The sequence below is a fragment of the Homo sapiens genome, chromosome 2, assembly GCF_000001405.40.
Source record: "Homo sapiens chromosome 2, GRCh38.p14 Primary Assembly".
Taxonomy (NCBI): domain Eukaryota; kingdom Metazoa; phylum Chordata; class Mammalia; order Primates; family Hominidae; genus Homo; species Homo sapiens.
Genome location: NC_000002.12, coordinates 227208509 through 227231072, shown reverse-complemented (window position 1 = coordinate 227231072; position 22564 = coordinate 227208509). Strand labels below are relative to the sequence as shown.

At 41.4% G+C, this 22564-nt stretch overlaps 1 protein-coding gene and 1 long non-coding RNA gene across 9 annotated transcripts in view; one reads left to right on the top strand and one right to left on the bottom strand.

The window, feature by feature from the left end:
* MFF-DT (MFF divergent transcript) overlaps window positions 1–10021 on the top strand; it is a 104113-nt gene extending 94092 nt beyond the window's left edge. The window contains exons 11-14 of the long non-coding RNA NR_102371.1: window positions 2441–2592; window positions 3181–3303; window positions 8579–8691; window positions 9589–10021. This is a non-coding gene — a long non-coding RNA (MFF divergent transcript). The remainder of the gene's footprint in view (window positions 1–2440; window positions 2593–3180; window positions 3304–8578; window positions 8692–9588) is intronic.
* Window positions 1–22564, bottom strand: part of COL4A3 (collagen type IV alpha 3 chain) — a 150169-nt gene that overhangs the window by 83720 nt on the left and 43885 nt on the right. The window lies entirely within an intron of this gene.

The window sequence follows — 22564 nt, the reverse complement described above, 5'->3', positions numbered from 1 at the left end:
TGCCTGCGTTAGTGGAACTGCTCCAAAATAATTCCAGCTTTAATTCTCAGTTAAATTGGCAAGGTGTGGCTTGCTTGTGCAGCTACATAATTAAGCTGACTAGGACTTCAGAGCACATGACAATGTTGCTGACATGTAGATGCTGCACCTGATTGTGTGAACTCAAAATTATAGTCAGGGCTGCTCTCTGGCTGCTGTTCAGCTGCTGCTGTAGAAATAAGCCCTGCCTGTATGATATTGCAGAGACCCCAGCACAGGGGCACTTGAATACTTTTGGATGGTGATGACAGTAGCTCAAGACTCATGATATTAATTTCTCTCACTAATGCTGTCTTTTCTTAAATACATTTTCAATTTGCAAATGTTTCAGTAATTCAAAAATTCAAATGAATTATTTAATTTAAAAGATACAGAGTCCATATTTTTATTCTCATTGATTTTAATCCATCTACATTGTTGGACCCATTTTTTTGAAACACTATGGTTACTTTAATAGTAATAACCCATTCATTACTATTCAACTGTTAAATCACATAAAAAACCAGGATGGCCAAAGGCTAACTATTAAGGAAGCATAACTAATGGATATTTCTTAAGCAACATTTTTATGATTTTTCTCCTTCCAGCAATAAATTACCCCATAGTTTCCTCATATCTTAATGGAATACAAAATCATTTGTCATGAACAGAAAGCTCTTAATAATAATATTATGGCTTTTAAACCCCCTCCTGCCATCAGGAAATGACCCGAGATTACATGATGTTTTAGCACTTTTGAATATTAAGTAGTTAAACTTGTGGAAATCATTCTTTTTCACAGTTGCATTTCTGTTTTACGGCCTTACTTAAAATGCAAAATAAACTTTCATTGTAGAGAATCCAAAAAGGTTTGGAATTCCAGAAATCACAGGCCATGTATGTATGGACCTACTGAATATATACGGACCCATCTATGTTGAGTCTACTCCCAGCATTGTAGCTACAAACTGGAGCTTTGGGAAATTTCTTTTTTTTTTTTTTTTGAGATGGAGTCTTGCTCTGTTGCCCAGGCTGGAGTGCAGTGGCACGGTCTCGGCTCACTGCAAGCTCCACCTCCCGAGTTCACGCCATTCTCCTGCCTCAGTCTCCCGAGTAGCTGGGACTATAGGCGCCCACCACCACGCCCAGCTAATTTTTTGTATTTTTTTTAGTAGACACAGGGTGTCACCCTGTTAGCCAGGATGGTCTCGATCTCCTGACCTCGTGATCCACTCACCTTGGCCTCCCACAGTGCTGGGATTACAGGCGTGAGCCACCGCGCCCGGCCGGGAAATTTCTTAATCCTTCCAGGTTCCCCCATCTGTCAAGGGAGATACTAGGATGTACCTTGCAGTGTTTTTGTAAGGAGTTGAGATGCTGTCACTAGCCTGCCTGGTACCCTGCACTCAATAAGGACTCAGTCACTGGGGGACTCCCCTTTCTCCTTTTCAAGATTCCAAGCCAAAGGACATCCACAACTATTGTTTGATCCTTTCTTCCATCAGTCTGCACTAGCCACCTTCCTCCCTGACATTTCCTCTTGAAGTCCCTTGTCCAGTGCCAAAGAACTGGTGTTGAATCTAAGAGCAAGGGTGAGAGACTGCTGTTATCTATCTCTAACAAACAATAAATGAATTAACTCATATTTGTTAATAGTATTATTAGAGTACACTGACTATATTGGTTGATTAACCAAATATCATTTGCCTAAGAGCACAGACACATTACAATGTTTTATTTAACAAAATATTGGTTAGAGACCCCAATGGTACTTGATGCTTATCCAAGAAAGGTGCCAGATCAAATATATTACACAAAGGCAGCAAGCCTTCCAGGAGTGCGGATCAATTGGGTCTCACACTCTTCTCTTGATCTCAATTCTCGCAGTGCCCGTGTGCCACCCATGTCTCACCTGCACATCGCTTTCTCTTATGAGGCAAAGTGGTACAGGGTGAAGGGCACCAGTTCCAGAGACGTACTTCCTGGGTCTAAATCCCAGCTCTGCCACCTCACCTCTGTGAGTCTAGGCAGTCTCAGGTGTCTCGGTTTCCACATCTGTGAAATGGGGTCAGATTGGTTAGCACAGGTAAGCCCTTAGAAGAGTTCATAGGATACACTGAGGGCTGTTACTGTAGGCTGTTACTAACTCATTGACTTGACATGGATCATTAGGTGCTCCTGAGTTGAGGGTTTATCACTTTCCCTAAACTGCAGGTGGGAACGGTGTCTCACAATTCCTTATATCCCCCTAGCACTGTAAACAATTATCTTTTTATCCTTAAAACTCATGAAGGATCTCATTAAACACATCCATTTTTATTGTTCGTTAAAAGGATCAGGAAATATGCACATGCATTTTTATTAATAGACCAGAACATAATTTCCAAATAATCTTGACTATTTCTCTCTCTACTGTCAACAGCCAGCATGCTCGTTCCTGTGCATGCTGGTGAAACAGACGTGGCCTGCCCTGCCTTTCTCCAATCTCTCTCCCGCAGCCCAGCCCAGCCCAGCCTGGTTTAATAGCAGGGGGAGTTGGCACCGTTCACAGCTGGTTAACACCCTACTGAGCAGGTCTGTTGATTTTGCATTATGATTACTGACCCTGCCAGTCCCTCTGCCCAGCCAATAGCCTGAGGGGAAAGTTTTTGTGTGTGAAAAGAAGAGCTGACCAAGTATAGCCAAACCGTGCCAGACAGACGCCACGAGCTGTCCTCTGCAGGGCCGCCTCTGCCCGTGTCTGCCTTAAGCAACCAACCATGTGCCCTGGCACCATGCCCTCCAGTGAAGAAGAATGACACCCATGGACTGCTTTGCGGGATGCCCCCGCCTGCCCCGCCCTGAAGCTGCTGTCACCACCCTTGGACATCAAAGAAATCTCACTGCAGCTGCCACTTCCTATCCCTCAACTCCCGTCCAGAGACACATCACTAGTCTAGACATGTAAGCCAGCCACCCGTTTTTGATTTTCTGGATGACAGCAAGCATACAGATTACTAACTCTGACAAAGACGGTGCAGTGAGGGCTCTCTGGTACATTTGAGAATAAATAATATGGTAAGAAAATTTTGCCCGTCTTATGCAATGCAGAGAATGGTAAGTATACCTATAATCATTAACTCCAGGTTCCTTTTTTTTTCTTTTCTTTTTACCCCCTAAAAGGTTTTGAATGCAGAAAGACTGAGAAAACTTCACTATTCATGTAAGAAAAATAGGCTCCACGGGATCCCTTGATCAGGATGGTGGTAGAGGAAATGAACTTCCATCAGCACTGTAATGATCTCAGTATGTTTTGAGCACTTTCAGTGCTGGCTGTCTCATATTATCTCATTATATCTTACAACAATTCTGTAAGGGAGGTACTGTTATAAGCTCCATCTAATAGATGAGAAACCTAGGATTTTGAGAGGCTAAGGATAGTAAGGAACATGGGGAGTGGGGATCTGAATTCAGGTGAGACAGTCTGACCCAGGGTCAGTCATATTCTCAGGTGCAGTGTTGCATTTCTTCTTCTTCTTTTTTTTTTTGAGATGGAGTCTTGCTCTGTCACCCAGACTGGAGTGCAGTGATGCAATATTGGCTGACTGCAACCTCTGCCTCCCAGGTTCAAATGATTCTCCAGTAGAGATGGGGTTTCACCATGTTGGCCAGGCTGGTCTCAAACTCCTGAGCTCAAGTGATCCACCCACCTCGGCCTCCCAAAGTGCTGGGATTACAGGCGTGAGCCAGCGTGCCCGGCCTGTATTTCATTATTGACGGGCTCTGCTGGCCACAAGGCACTGGGGGAGGAGGGGTATGTTTCTCCCCCTCTCACCCTATCACTGTGCCCCTCATGATGGGACGTAAAATCCCAGTGAAAAACATAACATAGTAGCTCATGAAATTAGCTGTATAATGCAGGACTTGGCAGACAGCAGCTTGCAGGACAAATCCAGCCCTCTGCCTGTTTCCATCCGGCCTATGAGCTAAGACTGGTTTTTATATTTTTCATGGTTGAAACAAAATTAAGAGAGAAATAACATTTTGTAATGTGAAAATTATATAAACTTTAAATCTCAATGTCCATAAGTTTGCATTTCATCAATACAAATGTTGTGGATATTTATTTTCTCTCTTGTTATATAGGTATCTGCATAGTAGCCTTCATTTTGCCTCTTGGCTTGCAAAGCCTAAAATATTTACTACGTGGCTCTTTATGGGAAAAGCTTGGTGATTCCTGGTACAAATTATCTTCATTATATTTTTTCTATGGCAATATAAAAATTGCATTAAAAATTAAGATAGAGGCCAGGTGCGGTGGCTCATGCCTATAATCTCAGCACTTTGGGAGGCCGAGGCAGGTAGATCACCTGAGGTCAGGAGTTCAAGGCCAGCCTGGCCAACTGGGGGAAACCCCGTCTCTACTAAAAATACAAAAATTAGTTTGGCATGATGTTGAGTGCCTATAATCCCAGCTACCTGGGTGGCTGAGGCAGGAGAATTGCTTGAACCTAGTAGGTGAAGGTTACAGTAAGCAAAGATTGCACCACTGTACTCCAGCCTGGGCAACAGAGCAAGACTCCATCTAAAAAAAAAAAAACAAACCTAACATTAGAATAGAAACTTAAAGAAGAGATCAGCTGTGAGTTCCAGTGAGAGATGGTCTTCTACCTTGGAATGGCAGACTGGGACCTGTCTCTTCTTTCTGTCCGCCTACCCCCATGTGCCTCCCCTTCTCCCACTGTGCTTCTGTCCAGAGCTTGGGGGACACAGGGAATACAATTTGGGGACTGGAAGAACCCAGCAGATCCTCTAGTCCAAAAGTTCTTCATGTTTTGAACTTCACAGGGCAATAAAATAAATGTGTCTTAAAAGGAAGACAAACAGAGGGCTGTCTTAGTTATATTTTTCAATATAAGAGCAATGGCCACCTCCAAACACAAACCAACACAATCACCCACCCCCCAAACCACAGCAGACCTCTCATCTACTGTCCTCATATTCCAGAGAAAAATTAAGATACCATAAAGCAAGTAAAATGCCCACAGAATAAAATATGTTCCTGGCTGGGCATGGTGGCTCACGACTGTAATCCCAGCACTTTGGGAAGCCGAGGCGGGTGGATTACTTGAAGTCAGGAGTTCAAGACCAGCCTGGCCAACAGGGTGAAACCCTGTCTCTACTAAAAATACAAAAGTTAGCCGGGCATGGTGGAGTGTAATTATAGTCCCAGGTACTCGGGTGGCTAAGGCAAGAGAATCGCTTCAACCTGGGAGGTGGAGGTTGCAGTAAGCAGAGGTTACATCACTACACTCCAGTCTGGGAGACAGGGTGAGATCTGTCTCAACAAAAAAAAAAAAAAAAAAGAAAGAAAAAGCTGTTCCCTTAACATGGGAACTTGATAAAAAGCTCCCATTTTACTTGATTAAAAAAAAAAATCTCTACCTCGTTCTTATTTTTCTCACTTGCTTTGGCCTGGTGCAACCCTGCACTGGGAACCACTAAATTAGCCACACCCACCTCCACTCTCTCTTGTTGGTCACTCTTTGCTTTGTCACCTGCTGCTGCAGGGTCTTCTGTCTGAGAGGTGAAAGTAAACTAATCTTATCGAGAGACATGATGCTAATGGGTTAATTTTTAAAAATCCGCCTGGGAACTGACACATTTTTCAGAAAACATTACCTCTTAAAACAAACAAAAAAGACAGAAAGCTGCCACCAGTGCCACAAGTGATGGAAAATTCGAGCTGCAGGCTGGCAGGTGGAGACGCATATTAAGGCGGATGGGACTTCTTAGGTCATGTGCCTGGTTTGTCTATTCATAGGACCATTTGAAAAAAAATCTTTGAAAATGTTATTTACAAAACCAAAGTTTAGGCCAGGTGGCTCACACCTGTTATCCTAGCATTTTGGGAGGCCAAGGTGGGAGGATTACTTGAGCCCAGGGGTTGGAGACCAGCCGGGGCAACATAGTGGGACCCTGTCTCTATAAAAAAAATTAGCCAGGCATGGTGGCGCAAGCCTGTAGTTCCAGCTACTCAGGATGCTGAGGCGGGAGGATCGCTGGAGCCCAGGAGGTTGAGGCCACAGTGAGCTGTAATCGCGCCACAGCACTCCAGCCTGGGCGACAGAGTGAAACCCTGTCAAAAACAAGAACAAAACAAAACTAGATTACTTTTTCTAAACATAAAAATTAATAACAAAAAAGAAAATTCATTCAGAGCAATAAAAAGACAGTTCATCTCAAAAATAGAAATTTAAAGTCCTATAATTTATTAATTGTTTTCTCAAACTATAATCATTCATTTTTTTTTTTTCTTTGAGATGGAGTTTCACTTTTGTTGCCCAGGCTGGAGTGCAATGGCATGATCTCGGCTCACTGCAACCTCTGCCTCCCGGGTTCAAGCGATTCTCCTGCTTCAGCCTCCTGACTAGCTGGGATTACAGGCGCCTGCCGCCACCTCACCTGGCTAATTTTTTATATTTTTAGTAGAGACAGGGTTTCACCATGTTGGACAGGCTGGTCTTGAACTCCTGACCTCAGGTGATCCACCCGCCTTGGCCTCCCAAAGTACTGGGATTACGGGCATGAGCTATCATGCCCAGCAGCATTCATTTTAAGTAATTTTTTGTTTGTTTGTTTGTTTTTTCAGTTTGGAAAACTACTAGCTTAGTTTTTACTTCCTGGTAGAAAAAAACAAAGTCAGAATAAACATAGGAAAATTTTAAAGACAATGGTTGAGATATCTGATGAAGAAAGCTTAGAGCTGACAGTTATCTGCAGACACAGGGAAACCCCAGAGGTCACCTGCGCTTCCACTGGCTGATGGTGGGAGAGCTACACTCTCCATTGTTATAAGTAATAGAATATTAAGATCGTAAAACGCCTTAAAGTTCATCTGTCTCATAGTCATTACTCCAAGGTCAGTCCAGATCTTATTTGGAATCTGGAACTTCTAATTTTCCCTTGGACCGATAAGCTGACTGCGTTCGGAGCGATTGCGTGCAAACTTCAGAGCACAGAGGCTCTGCTTCATGTTGACTTTTCTGCCCAGCAGTCTGGCCTGCTTGGAGTATCAGAGCCCACACCTAAAGGCTTTGTCTTGGAGGAGCTCACTATGGAGAAGAGTAACTTCTTAGAGCTGAATTCATTCCTGGCTTAGTTGCTCACTGCTATGCAAAACATCTTCTCCCCACAAGTGGAGGACAATAGACACTATCTAATTAATACTTTGATTGGGGCTGGATATAAGTGAGATAAATCATGACTATAACTCTCTGTAAAGGATAAGGAGAAAATCTGATACCAGAATTTGCTTATTTATTTGTTTATTTATTTATTTGAGACAGAGTCTCATTCTGTCACCCAGGTTGGCGTGCAGTGGCATGATCTCGGCTCACTGGAACCTCCACCTTCCAGGTTCAAGAGATTCTCCCATCACAATTTCCCAAGTAGCTGGGATTACAATCATGCCCGGCTAATTTTTCTTTTGTATTTTTAGTAGAGTTGGGGGGGCGTCTCACCATGTTGGTCAGGCTGGTCTTGAACTCCTGACCTCAGGTGATCCGCCCACCTCAGCCTCCCGAAGTGCTGGGATTATAGGCATGAGCCACTGTGCCTGGCCTGAATTTGCCTTCTAAAGTATATGATGTAAATGTTTGGGATATTTTTCCCCATTTGTTATGAGTAACACACTTCCTTGATAGTATCAGTTCACATCAGATTGTGATTAAGAAAACTATCTCTGTATAGTTTCATGATATTCCAACAGAACCTTAGGACAGTGGTTCTCAACTTTTCATGTATATGAATTATTTGAAGTCTTTAGTAACCATACTTTTCCCCTCGAGATCCCATCCTCAGTGAGCAGGTCTGAGGCCTAGAATCGGTACTTAAAACAAGCAGCTTGCAGGGGCTTAGTTTCAGGGGTTCCCCAGACCACACTCTGAGAACTTCCTTAGCATATCAAGTATTAAAAAGGAACTAAGATTCATCCCCAGAACTTTTATACCAATCTCTTTGATATTTATGAAATAAAACAGAAGTTATTTGTAAAAATATAGGATAGTTGAGATTAATGATCAATCCTAAATAAATTCCCCGAATTAGATGATGTCACTTGGTTGATTAAAAGTATTTAGACCTGGCCATCAGTGCTGAGTCTGAACTCCTGGGCATGGTGTGGGAGGCTCTCTGTATTCTGTGTCCCCTATATCCCCAGCAGAGAGGCCATTGGCCCCCATGGGGCTGCAGGTGCGATTCCTGCCCGCTGAGACCCTCTGCTTGCTTTCATATTCCTGTGCTTTTCCACATGGTTTTTTGGCCTGACATGCCCACTTCTCACTGCCTCTGACCTTGCTTGGCTGAGTTTTGCTGATTCCAGAGCAGTTCAAAGTTACCTGTCTTGAAAGACTACCTCCCTCAACCCGCAAGGTGGTTAGTTGCTCCCTCATTTGTTTTGTGCATAACTGACTTATAACACGTACCTAATTGCACTGTAATTATTTGTTTACATGCCTTCTCCACCACCCCACGAAGTTTCTCATAGCAAGCCACATCTTACTCATCTCTACATTCCTAGGAGGGGGGACAAGTTCACAGTGTTGGGGAGAGGAAAGTGTCCTCTTAGCTGCCTCCCATGACTTCAGGGGCCCATTTGATGATAATAGGACACTCTCTGGACAAAGCCTGCAGGTGGGTGTTGACCTGAGAACAGGCCAAGAAATGTATAACTTTCACTACGTATAAAATGAACATGAATCAGGCAGAACAGAAACAGTGCCAGAAAAGGAAAATGTGCAAGGAAGCTTGAAAGATAGCAAGCTCAGGGGCAGGGGGCTGAAGGACTGCAGGAGCAAGATTGGGTATTGTATGTCAAGGGTGCTTAAGGAGCTTTTTATTATCATTATCATTATTATTATTATTATTATTATTATTATTATTATTATTATTAGAGACAGTGTCTCCGTATGTTGTCCAGGCTGGTCTCAAACTCCTGGGCTCAAGCAATCCTCCCATCTCAGCCTCTTAAGTAGGTGGGACTACAAGCTACTTAGGTGCACCACTGCACCTGGCTTAAGGAGCATTTTAAACACAAGGATGCTGAGTTAAATGATCTACTGTGCTCAGTGATAGGATGGGACGCTTTCTCACCCTCAAAGCCATTTTCCCTCAGTCACTTATTTTCACTTTTTTTTTCCTAATGTCCAACTTCAAATTTATATTCAAATCTAGAAGTGGTATCATTTATTCATTCATTCAAAAAACATTTATTATGTACTATGCACCAGGCACTATTCTAGATACAGGGGACACGGTAGCTTATGTTCTAACAGGGGGAAGAAAACAATAGATAAGATAAATATATATGTATAATACACACGTTAACTAATTATAATTGCCAAGAAAAATTAATGCAGGAAAGAAAGAAGTGAAATGTCAGGGGTGGGTTGTAAACATTTAGATAATGTGGTCACGAAAGGGCTCACCTGAGGAGGTGATTTTTGGAATAAAGACTTGAAAGAAGGAGGGGAAGCAGTGACTGGGCTGCATAGACACAGTGGGATTTAAGCAGATTTGTGGTTTTTCCAGATGGATTTGATCAAGCAAGAGAGCTGAGGATGAATGCGAAAAAAAAAAAAGTGGTCCTGATGGCTCCTTGACCATGAAATAAAGGTCATCAATGAGGGAAGACAGGAGACTCCAGGAGCACAGAGACAGTGACAAAGCAATGGATAAAGGAATTGTGGGTACCAGTGAGATGGAAGGATTATGGGATTTGGAGTCCTAGGGACAAAGATGGAAAGACTGGAGGGTGCTTGGAGAGGAACTGTGATTGGTGATGTCAAGATCAAGAGTACTGTCTTACAGGGGAACCAGTGACAGAGGTCAAGAAGAAGATGAGACCACTGCAATGGTAATTTCATGACATGTACAGGTGTTGATAATTCCTTTGTGCTGGACAAGGTAAAACAAAGAGGGGTGATGACTTTGAAATGTTCTTAATAAAAAATTCCAGCAATAACGTCTGTCTGCAACTCATTGGACAAAAGCATCCAGCTCCTCAGAGCATCTGACTTCTTTTCTGATAACATGAAGATAAAATCATTATTCATTCTGAGTTATAGGACTCTCCACTGACACATAAAAATTTTAAACTATTCTCCATATATATGGAAAGGTATCAAGAATAATGTAATAAATACTCCTGCAGCTACCACCCAGCTCAGAAATAGCACATTATCAATGTAGTTGAAATTTCCTGTGTTATCTCTAAATCTTCAATACACTTTGTCATATAAAACTGCCTTATGGCCAGGCATGGTGGCTCATGCCTGTAATCCCAGCACTTTGGGAGGCTGAGGTAGGGATCACTTGAGGCCAGGAATTTGAGACCAGCCTATGCAACATAGTGAGACTCTGTCTCTACAAAAAATAAAATAAAATAAATTAGCCATGGATGGTGGTGAGTGCCTGTAGTTCCAGCTATTCCAGAGGCTGAGGTGGGAGGATTGCTGAAGCCCAGGAGTTGGAGGCTGCAGTTGGCTCCACCACTGCACTCCAGCCTGTGCAGTGGAGCAAGACTCTGTCTCTGGTTGGGCACAGTGGCTCACGCCTGCAATCCCAGCACTTTGGGAGGCCGAGGCGGGTGGATCACTTGAGGTCAGTAGTTTGAGACCACCCTGGCCAACATGGAGAAACCCGGTCTCTAATAAAATTACAAAAATTAGCTGGGCGTGGTGGCGGGCACCTGTAATCCCAGCTACTTGGGAGGCTGAGGCAGGATAATCACGTGAACCTGGGAGGCAGAGGCTGAAGTGAGCTGAGATTGCACCACTGCACTCCAGCCTGGGTGACAGTGAGACTCTGTCTCAAAAAAAAAAAAAAAAAAAAAAGGCTTTGTCTCTGAAACACACACACACACACACACACACACACATAAAACCGCCTTATTAAACAAGAAGCTCTGGTCCATTAATGGAAGAATCATTGTGGAAATTGAGATGTGGGTAAGATTCAAATCTTCAGCAAGTACAGAAAATCAGAAGGAAAAGCTACCAAGAAAATGCAGGCCCCAGGGAAGGTGAAGAAATCTTGGGGCAGAATTTGGACTTCCTACAGGTCGAGATGGTATTCAAGGAATTTCATGTAGTTTTAAACCTCAAAGGACAGGATACCTCTAGACAGCACTGGGGTTACAAATGCAAACAGAAGATGCTCAATACATACTGACTATATGAAAAAGTAAATCACAGAGTACTAGACAGATAACATAAGTCATAGGTGTAAATTATTTAACTATATAAAATATATAACTGTGGTAAAAACAAGAAAAGAAGATTAAAAATTAAACTTGGAAAATGTCAAGGATACAAGAGTGCTTCACAGCACTAAAAACAGACTATGGGGAGATAAGCATGTAAATACAATGACAGCTGGAGTGAGACGTCATACAAAAATAAATAAGAAAATGTAAGCTACATCTCTGGGAATACAAACGTTTGGATATTTTAGACATTTTGATGATTGACTGAGTTTTTCTTCTCATCCAGATGACTAATACCAAGTAAATAAAATCTTAGAAGCAGATAGACAAGAAAGCCAAGGGGGAATTAACAAAAGTCTTTGGGATTGGCTCTGCAAAAACAACCCACCCCGCTGGCACAGTGTATAGTGTCATAAGTGGAAAAGGCTCTAAGAGAAGGGTGAGTGCAGGAGCCAGGTGGCAGAGCAAATGGAAAAGGCAAAGATGGGATAGAAATAATGGGACCAAGGGGCCTGGCATGGTGGCTCACGCCTGTAATCCCAGCACTTTGGGAGGCCGAGGATGGCAGATCACCTGAGTTTGGGAGTTCAAGACCAGCCTGACCAACATGGAGAAACCTCCGTATCTACTTAAAAAAAAAATACAAAATTAGCTGGGCATGGTGGTGCATGCCTGTAATCCCAGCTACTTGGGAGGCCGAGGCAGGAGAATCGCTTGAACCTTGGAGGTGGAGGTTGCAGTGAGCCATGATTGTGCCATTGCACTCCAGCCTGGGGGACAGAGCGAGACTCTGTCTAAAAAAAAAAAGAAATAATGGGACTGAGGATAGAGACTTCATGTTAGGCTATTTTATTGTATATTGGAAGATGACAAATTCCACATAATGGCAACATCTGTTTTGTAGAAATACGAAAGGATATGAAAAAAGAATTTTTATTAATTCTGCTTTTTTTACAACCAAAATACAAATAAACAAATATAAAATAATTTAGAAAGCAAAACAATTGAAATTCAGGTCACAAGATTTCTAAACGTTAAGCATCAGATATCTTTTATAAGTCTCCAAGATGATTCTATTTCCACCTTTCCTAATATGTGCTTTACTTTTCTTTTAATATTAAAAATATGTTTTTCTTGTTGCTAAAGTAGAGTTTGATTGTTCAAGTTGGATCAACAGAGCAGACACCTTGATAGCTTGCTTCACTGTTAGTTTTGGAAGGAAGAGTACAGAAACAACAACAAAAGTGCATTTAAATTAGTTTTCCTAAGACAGAGATGGAATCATTATCATATCCTAATAAAAAATGCAGTATTTTCACACGACATTTTTTCTTTTCTTCTTTTGAGACGGAGTCTTGCTCCCTCACCCAGGCTGGAGTGCAGTGGCACAATCTCCACTCACTGCAAGCTCCTCCTCCCGGGTTCACGCCATTCTCCTGCCTCAGCCACCCGAATAGCTGGGACTACAGGCGCCCACCACCACGCCCGGCTAATTTTTTGTATCTTTAGTAGAGACGGGGTTTCACCGTGTTAGCCAGGATGGTCTTGATCTCCTGACCTCGTGATCCACCCGTCTCGGCCTCCCAAAGTGCTGCGATTACAGGCGTGAGCCACTGCGCCCGGCCCACACGACATTTTTTCAAATGAGCAGTCGCATTTGGAAAACCTTAAAAAGGGGTTTAGCTATTAAGGCAAATTTAAAATAACTATATATATATATATATATATAGCTATATATATAGTTATTTTATATATAGTTAAATATAGTTATAACTATATATGTGACTATATATAGTTATATGGAGTTTGAATGTGTATTTTAATGGATGAATCTGACTCTTAAAGCAATGCTGAGAGTGTCTTCTGCCCTTGTGCCAGCACTGTCTTGTTTGCAGAAGCATTTTGTAAAACAGAACAAGCAAAACCAGTAATGTCCAGAATAATGTTTAACTGTAAGGCCTCCAAATTTCATTACTTTTTCTCCAAAGAAAAATATTTAGGCCCCATCACAGGTGATGGTAACCAAGAATTCTGTATGAGCACATTTTTCTTGAACAGTTGTCATTACTACTGAATTCAGTTGCTGAAACCACACATTTTACTTCCAAATTTTCACATGATAAATAAACTGCTAGATGGCATATTGATAATTTTGCAATTTACGGCTTCCCTGGAGAAAGGGAGAGATATTTTATTTTAATAAACCCACCATCCTATAGTGATGGTACATCATGCATTATTTTGTTATGCTCAATATCAGCTTTTTCTATAGCCCAAACCTATAAACTGTGGCTATTGGTACAAACAGTCAAATAAAACAGGACTACAGTCAGGTTAACATTGTGGCTAAAATATGTCTTTGTTAACAAGCACATACTGCTGCTTGGTGAATAATGTGCTTACAAATTGCTTGCTTACAAAAGGAGCAAGGTGGTACAAGTCCATGTAGATAGGTAAGGTCGCTGATATGGTTTGGCTGTGTCCCCACCCAAATCTCATCTTGAATTGTAGCTCCCATAATTCCCACATGTTGTGGGAGAGAGTCAGTGGGAGATAATTGAATCATGGGGTGGTTCTCCCATACTGTTCTCATGGTAGTGGATAAGTCTCATGAGAGCTGATGGTTTCATAAGGGGAAACCCCTTTCAGTTGGTCCTCATTCTCTCTTGTCTGCCACCATGTAAGACATGCCTTTCACCATCTGCCATGACTGTGAGGCCTCCCCAGCCATGTGGAGCTGTGAGTCCATTAAACTTCTTTTTCTTTATAAAGTACCCAGTCTTGGGTATATCTTTATCAGCAGTGTGAGAATAGACCAATACAGTCACTAAATCATATACAATTATTAAACAGGATACCATTTGGACACAGGATTTGAGGAAACATGAGAGTCTATAGAAGTGCAATTTCTAGATAACTGAAGTTTACCATTAAAACCCAAACTCTGACCATCTGTGATTGTATGACAGGCTCTCCTGCCTTGTAAACAGACTGAAAGTGACATAATCCTCCTTTCCTGAACAATATTGCTGTCACTGTGAACACTTTTGGGCCCTAAGGGATTCTTGGTACATAACTGATACTTAAGAAATATTTGTTGAGTGATGCTGTTGCATACATAGAGATATTTATTTGCATTTATATCATTTAATTGCAGGATGGTCTATGGTTTTGATTGTTAAGTATGCTTTTTTTTTGGAGGAAGATTCTTTTTGTGGTATTAGGCTTTCTACCTTCCTTTCTTTCTACTGCTGCTTCCTTACCTATAGCTCTCTGATACCTCTTCTGTATTTCTAATTGTTTAATCTATGCTACTAATTAAGAAATCAGTAACTAAAGCTCGATTGAATTACTTATAAATTCAGAATAAAGAGATGCGGTAAGGTCTGAGGGCCTCAACTACAAATGAAGTGCAGAATCTTTGTAGTATTGTCCTGGTTTTTGTTTGTCTTCCAGATAACTGAAATTGACAGGAAAGGGTGGCGTTTATATACCCAGTCAGTACATTTTACAATAAAATATATACAATCATATTTTAAACATCCTTTGATTTTAAAAAATTTAATTGTGGAAGGATGCACCTTGCCAAATTTACCTTCTTAACCATTTTTTAGTGTGCAGGTCATTGGTGTTAAGTACATTCACATTGTTGCACAATTAATCTCCAGAATTCTTTTTATCTTGTAAAACTGAAACTTTGTACCTATTAAGCAGCAATCTCTCATTCTCTCCTCCCTCCAGTCCCTGCCAAACACGACTCTGTATTCTGTCTCTATGAATTTGACTACTGTAGGTACTAAATACAAATGGAATCGTGCAGTATTTGTCTTTTTGTGACTTGCTTCTTTCACTTAGCATAAGGAACTCAAGGTTCATCTATGTTGTAGCATGTAAACACCCTCTTATTTGTTTTATCCTAAGGAAAATTTTTAATATCAAAAGAGTAGTACAAACATCTATTAGTGAAAGCTAAGGCTATGATACACTGCCTGCACCTATGATGCTAGGGAAAACTGAGGGAGGATAAATCTGCACATAAAACAAGCACATAGGCCCGGTGCAGTGGCTCACCCCTGTAATCCCAACACTTTGGGAGGCCGAGGCGGGTGGATCACCTGAGGTCAGGAGTTTGAGACCAGCCTGGCCAACATGGTGAAACCCCATCTCTACTAAAAATGCAAAAATTAGTTTGGCATGGTGGTGGGCACCTGTAATCCCAGCTACTCGGGAGGCTGAGGCAAGAGAATTGCTTGAACCCAGGAGGCAGAGTTTGCAGTGAGCCAAGATCATGCCACCACACTCCAGCCTGGGCGACAGAGCGAGACTCTGTGCAAAAACAAAACAAACAAACAAAAAACAAAAACAACAAGCACATACGGAGGTGGTTATATACCTTGTGCCATATCAATACAGTGGAATATTACAGCAACTCATAAAAACATCAGACAGATTTATATGATATTTTTGTAAGAACCTATATATGCACAGAAATTCTGGAAGTAAATACATAGAATGATTAAAAATGGTTACTCTGGGGATCATGGTGATTTTCCTATTTGACTTTATACTTTTTTGAATTGCTTTAAAATTTTTGGTTGTACATTATTTCATAATGAGGGAAAAACGATAATGACTTTTCATTAAAAAAAAAATGATGATGATGAGACTGGTAGGCTCTTGACCTATCCACAAAATGAAAAATAAAAATGCACTGCTAGAAAAGTCTAAGTTTTAGGTTTAGTTGATGTTAATTTCTCATTTTAATCCCACATTCTAAGCCGAGTAAACAAACCAAAAAGTATCCAGTATACGTTTCAGACATTCAAGAATGAGTCAGTCTGAAGACAAATATTTTCAGAGACACTTTTCATTTTTGTGGAGTTGGTAAGTAGTGCCCTTTGCAGCCCTTAGGTAATAATGTGATAAGAAAGTTCTTAAACCAGACACCCAGACTGTCAAGCCCTAGGAGTTTATGAGAAGGCTCTTCAAAATATGGGACACAAAATAAATGACAAGGAGGCTAACAATATCCAGCTGACCACATTTCAAAGGACTAGGTAGCGATTCTCAAGTTCTCCACACACAAATCTTTGAAATTGTTTTCATTTGACACAGCTAGTGCCTATAATTCACAATGGACAGGTATTTGAAGAATGGAAAGCCAGTAACATGCCCAGAGATAGCAATAGGACCTGTGAAGTGTTTTAATAGGCTCTGGCCTAAGGAATAAAAACATGTAAAAAGATACAACTGTGGGCACACTCTATAGTGATTTGGAATTAAAGCAAGAAATATAGAAAAGGTTATGATGCTAAGCTGTTATGAAAATGCAACTTCATTTGTGATGTTTAAGATACAAACAACACGTTTAAATCAGAGAATATACAAATGACAAAATTCACATCAAAGAAGGCTTCTCTATATATAACACAGGAAAAATTAATAGCATGTCTGATATACTCACAGTTATAATATACTTGGGTTTGAAGGCTATCTAAGAATAACTCAACAATGACTTTTAATCTTTAAATGGAGAAAAGGTATAATATATATAAATAACCTTGTTTCCTCAGAATGCATATTTAGACTCCACACAGACATTGTATATTATCAAATTACTGAGAATTTTTGTATCAATGATCATTCTTAATTTTGTGATTTAGTACCAAGAAGTTCCTGAGGCATAACAGACTTTTCAATATGCGGAGGATAAAATGAAGTGGACTCCAATTTACTTCAGCTATCTTCAGAACTAATCCTCAAATGCATACCATATAGCATTAGTTTGTTTCTGGGAACACAATTTCACCTCTGCTGATTCCTAATATGCATTGTAATATTTGATCTGTAATTTTCTTTATATGTACGGTGTTTTTTCTTTTTCTTTTTCTTTTTTTTTTTTTTTTTTGAGACAGAGTTTTGCTCTGTCGCCCGGGCTTGTGTGCAGTGGTGTGATCTTGGCTCACTGCAAGTTCTGTCTTCTGGGTTCACGCCATTCTCCTGCCTCAGCCTCCCGAGTAGCTGGGTTTACGGGCACTTGTCACCATACCTGGCTAATTTTTGTATTTTTGGTAGAGACGGGGTTTCACCATGTTGACCAGGCTGGTCTTGATCTCCTGACCTTGTGATCCGCCTACCTCGGCCTCCCAAAGTGCTGGGACTACAGGCGTAAGCCACCGCGCCTGGCCATTTATATGTATGTTTTTAATCATCTAAAAAGCGGAAACAAGAATACGTATCTCTTACATATGGTGTAGAGCTTGGGTTGAAAACTACAGCCTACAGGGAAATCTAGTCCACCCCACTGTTTTTGCAGGACCCTTGAGCTAATAATGGCTTTACATTTTTAGATATAAAAGGAATATTGGTCTTTCTAGGGGAACAATTGCTAGAATAATTGAGGACCTTGCCTCTTAGCCCACAAAACCTAAGATATTTACTCTTTTACTCTCCAAAAAAAGTCATCCAACACCTAGTATAGAATAGAAAAAATTGGAACAGAGAGTAAAGAGACTTGAGTTTTTCAGACTGTGTGACCTTGGGCTGGTTAAGTACCCTCTCTGGATCTCCACACTCTTATACATGTGGTCTCTTTTAATTAATTCCAGTTTATGTTTCAGCCTACGCTTCAGCTATTTAAGGCATCCTAAGAAACTTAATTTTCACTGTACCCTAAAATAGCACTGTGACCTTGATTTGCCTTGGAGGAAGCCAAGTTGGGTCAGGATGAAAGGAAGTAGCTATTATGTTTACAAGGTTTTAAATGTCAAACCAAAGTTTGACCAAAACAGGTTTGTTTATGAACGGCCAAGGCTATTATTGAGTCAAGAGCCATGTTTAGTGCAAGGGTCTTTAGTTTGGCTTTAAGCAGGTTTATAGTCTCCAATTAGTCAAGAAAGACAATGTTGTGTCTTGACTTTGAAACCTCTCAACTGCTTTCATTAAATCATGGGTGTTCACCCTACACTGTGGCCTCAGAGTGAGAGCTAAGAATATTCTTTTTGCTGTAAGACAAGAGCAATAACGTGCACTGGGGATGTCCAAGAGTCATAAAAAATGTAAAGCACCCTTCTAAAATGTATTTGGAAGTGCAATGGGAGGGACCCAGGAGGGAGCTTGCCCTTCTAGATTCCAACACTTATAGTATAAAATTATAGTAATTAAGATACTGTGGTGTTGGTGTACAGATGGACAAATGTACCAATGGAACAGCATAGAGAACCCAGAAGTGGGTCCTCCATATGTAGAAACCTCATATATGGCAGACCTGGCACTACAGATTCCTGGGGAAAGGACAGATAAAGAGGCTGAGTGCATTGGTCATTCATATAGAAAACAATGCAAAGTTTCTCTAACTCATAAAAGTTCAATGCCAAATGAACTAAGGACTCAAATGGAAAAGCCAAAATTTTAAAACCTTTAGGGGGAAGTTTCAGAGGGTATCTTTATGACCTTGGGGTAGGGAAAGATATCATTAAAAAGATGCAAAAACATAAACTATAAAGGAAAAGATGGATAAATTCTACTATATTAAAATTTAAGAATTTGTTTCTCAGAAGATGTCATAGGTCACAAACTGTGATGTATTTGCAATATCTATAACAAAGAATTAGTGCCCAAGAATCAATAAGAAAAAGACAAAAAAAAACAAAAAAAACAGAAAAGATACGTGCAGTCATTTTTCAGAAGAGGATACACAAATAATCCATAAACATATAAACACATGCTCAATGTCATGAGTATTCAGAAAAACTGCACATTTATCCCAAACTCAGGTATGCCTTCACACACATCATTTTGGCAAAAGCTAAAAGTGGGTTCCAGACTCGCAAAAATCAAGTCTGGCCGGGCACGGTGGCTCACACCTATAATCCTAGCACTTTGGGAGGCCAAGGCAGGCAGATCACCTGAGGTCAGTGAGGTCAGGAGTTCAAGACCAGCCTGGTCAACATGGTGAAACCCCGTCTCTACTAAAAATACAAAAATTAGGTGGGCGTGGTGGCGCACCCCTGTAATCCCAGCTACTTGGGAGGCTGAGGCAGGAGAATTGCTTGAACCTGGGAGGTGGAGGTTGCAGTGAGCCGAGATTGCACCACTGCACTCCAGCCTGGGCAACAGAGCAAGACTCTGTCTCAATAAATAAATAAATAAATAAATAAAATCAAGTCTGACAGCACCAAATGTTAGTGAAGGCAAGGAGAAACCAGAATGCCTATGTCCTCCAGGTAAGATTGTAAATCGATTTCCAGCATGAATGTAGCACTTGCTAATAAAGATAAATGTATATGCATCCCCAAACCTACAGCAATTCCACCCTGGTGTATTCCCTGGAGAAACCCTGACATACTTGCATCAGGACAAATGTGCAAACGTGTTCACAGTAGCTTTGTGATAGTAAAAACTGAGAAACCCCATGCATGCCCCAATGGTAGAATGGAAAAACAAATTTTGTTACATTCATAGGATGGGATGTTATACAGCAGTGAAAATGAATAAACTACAGCTTTATGGGGCCGCGTGCAGTGGCACACACTTGTAATCCCTGTACTTTGGGAGGCCGAGGTGGGCGGATCACGAGGTCAAGAGATCAAGACCATCCTGGCCAACATGGTGAAACCCAGTCTCTACTAAAAATACAAAAAATAGAAGTGTGTGGTGGCATGTGCCTGTAGTCCCAGCTACTCAGGAGGCTGAGGCAGGAGAATCGCTTGAACCTGGGAGGCGGAGGTTGCAGTGAGCCGAGATTGCACCACTGCACTCCAGCCTGGGCGACAGAGTGAGACTCTGTCTCAAACAAAAATGAAAACAAAAACAAAAACAAAAAAACTACAGCTTTATAACTAACATGGAAGATGAAAACGAACACACGTACACTGAAAAAGTAAGTCACAACAAATGCATGCAGTATGATTCCATTTATATAGAGTTCCCCCCAAACAGGTGAAACTAATATATGTATATATATTTTTGTTTGTTTGGGAATAAGTATTTATGGGGAGACACGGCAAAGAAAAATAAGAAAATAGGTAACATAAAAGTCTGAATTGCATTTGGTGGTGGGGTGGCTGTGAGAAGGGAATGCAGTTGTGGTAGATTACACTGGAGTTATACTGCTTATGTTCTTTATCTTAACGCATATGTGTGCACCTGCGTGCATGCTTGCATGCGTGCTGTGTACATGTGTACTTGGGTGTTTATTTTGCATTCTTTTTTTCTTTTTGAGATGGAGTCTCACTCTGTCACCCAGGCTGGTGTGCAGTGGTTCGGTCTCGGCTCTCTGCAACCTCCGCCTCCCAGGTTCAAACAATTCTCCTGTCTCAGCCTCCTGAGTAGCTGGGACTACAGGTGCGTGCCACCACACTTGGCTAATTTTTTATTTTTAGTAGAGATGGGGTTTCACCATGTTGGCCAGGCTGGTCTTGAACTTCTGACCTCAGGTGATCTGCCTGCGTTGGCATCCCAAAGTGCTGGGATTACAGGTATGAGCCACCATGCCCAGCCTATTTTGTATTCTTTACACTGTGCATATATAATATGTACATCATTTCATGGATGATTGTACTTTATAATGTAGGATAGCTTTGCAATGCTTGTTAAAGGCACCTACAAAGATGCTTTGGAGCCTCTGTCCTGTTTCTGCAACAATATTTAACATCAGTTAAGGTTTGGTTCAACAATGTCCCAAAGGTAAACTCATAAATAACACAGATAGCTTTTACTACATGCCTGGCACTGTATTAAGAACTTTACTTACAGGAACTCATTAGATCTTTACAATCTTATAAGTGTGTTGTATTATTATTCCCAATTTACAGACAAGAAAGCTAAGCAACTTGCCTAACATCCCAATTACCCAGTTCATTCCATCAGGCATTTGAGAGTTGGTCAGAACATATCCATATAAAAAGAAACTGAACAGGACAGAGTAAAGGTCCCATCTTTTTTGTTTGTTTGTTTGTTTGTTTTTGAGATGGAGTTTTGCTCTTATTGCCCAGGCTGGAGCGCAATGGCACGATCTCAGCTCACTGCAACCTCCGCCTCCCAGGTTCAAGTGATTCTCCTGCATCAACCTCCAGAGTAGCTGGAATTACAGGCACCTACCACCACACCCAGCTAATTTTTTTGTATTTTTAGTAGAGATGGGGTTTCACCATATTGGCCAGGCTGGTCTCGAACTCCTGATTTCAGGTGATCTACCCACCTCAGCCTCCCAAAGTGCTGGGATTACAGGTGTGAGTCACTGTGCCCAGCCTAGGTCCCATCTTTTAATGTTCTAACACAGAGGAGGTGGAGTTCCCAGAAGATTCGGACACAGAGGCTTCACAGAAGAGATGGGGCTAGTACTGCGTTAACAGAGATAGCAGGATTCAAAACAAGGAATCCGTTGGGGAAGATATACCAGGCAGGGAGGATGACAAGCAAAGTCCAGAAGTAAAAGGTTCAGGCCTGCTGAGGACCTAAGGCCACTGGGCCAGTCTGGCTGGAGTGAAGGGAGCAAGAAGGGATGTTCTAGATGGTCCACTGGAAAAGCAGATGCATCTGAATTGGACCATCTAGAACCAGCTGGACGCAACATAGGCCACATACTCTTAGGGAATCCCCAAGATTATCCTGGGATGACCTTTCAAGTACCCCTGTTTGGAACAGGAATTAACATTGTGCTGGTGATGTATGACCATGGTTGGCAGAGCCACTTTTTCTCAAGTCATGTTTTGTGTCGTTCAGAAACATCTGGCTTAGGCAAAAAATGAGGTTCCAAAAGTTTGTTTGTAATGCTTCCCTTTCCTTCTGCTTTCCCTTGGGAATTCCTCAACTTGTATTCTCTTCCTGTTCTTTCTTCCTTCTTTCTCTTGCCATTTAAGATAAAAATTCCATGAAAACTTTAGGAAAATTTTAACATATTTGAAATATTTGCACACAGCATAATTTTGTTTCTCTCCCTCCTCTTTCTTTGTTTTTTGCTCCTCTTTCTAGAACTTTGTACTTACCTCCTTCTGTATATATGTGTGTGTGTGTGTGTGTGTGTGTGTGTGTGTGTGTGTGTAACCAACCGCCTAATGGGTTCACCTTTCTTGCTGCCTAGACAGAACTGATTTATCAAGACAGGGGAACTGCAATGGAGAAAGAGTAATTCACGCAGAGCCGGCTGTGCAGGAGACGGAATATTCATCATTACTCAACTCAGTCTCCCCGAACATTTGGGGATCAGAGTTTTTAAAGATAGTTTGGCGGGTAGGGGCTTGGGAAGTGGGGAGAGCTGACTGGTCAGGTTGGAGATGGAATCTTCATGGGTCGGAGTTA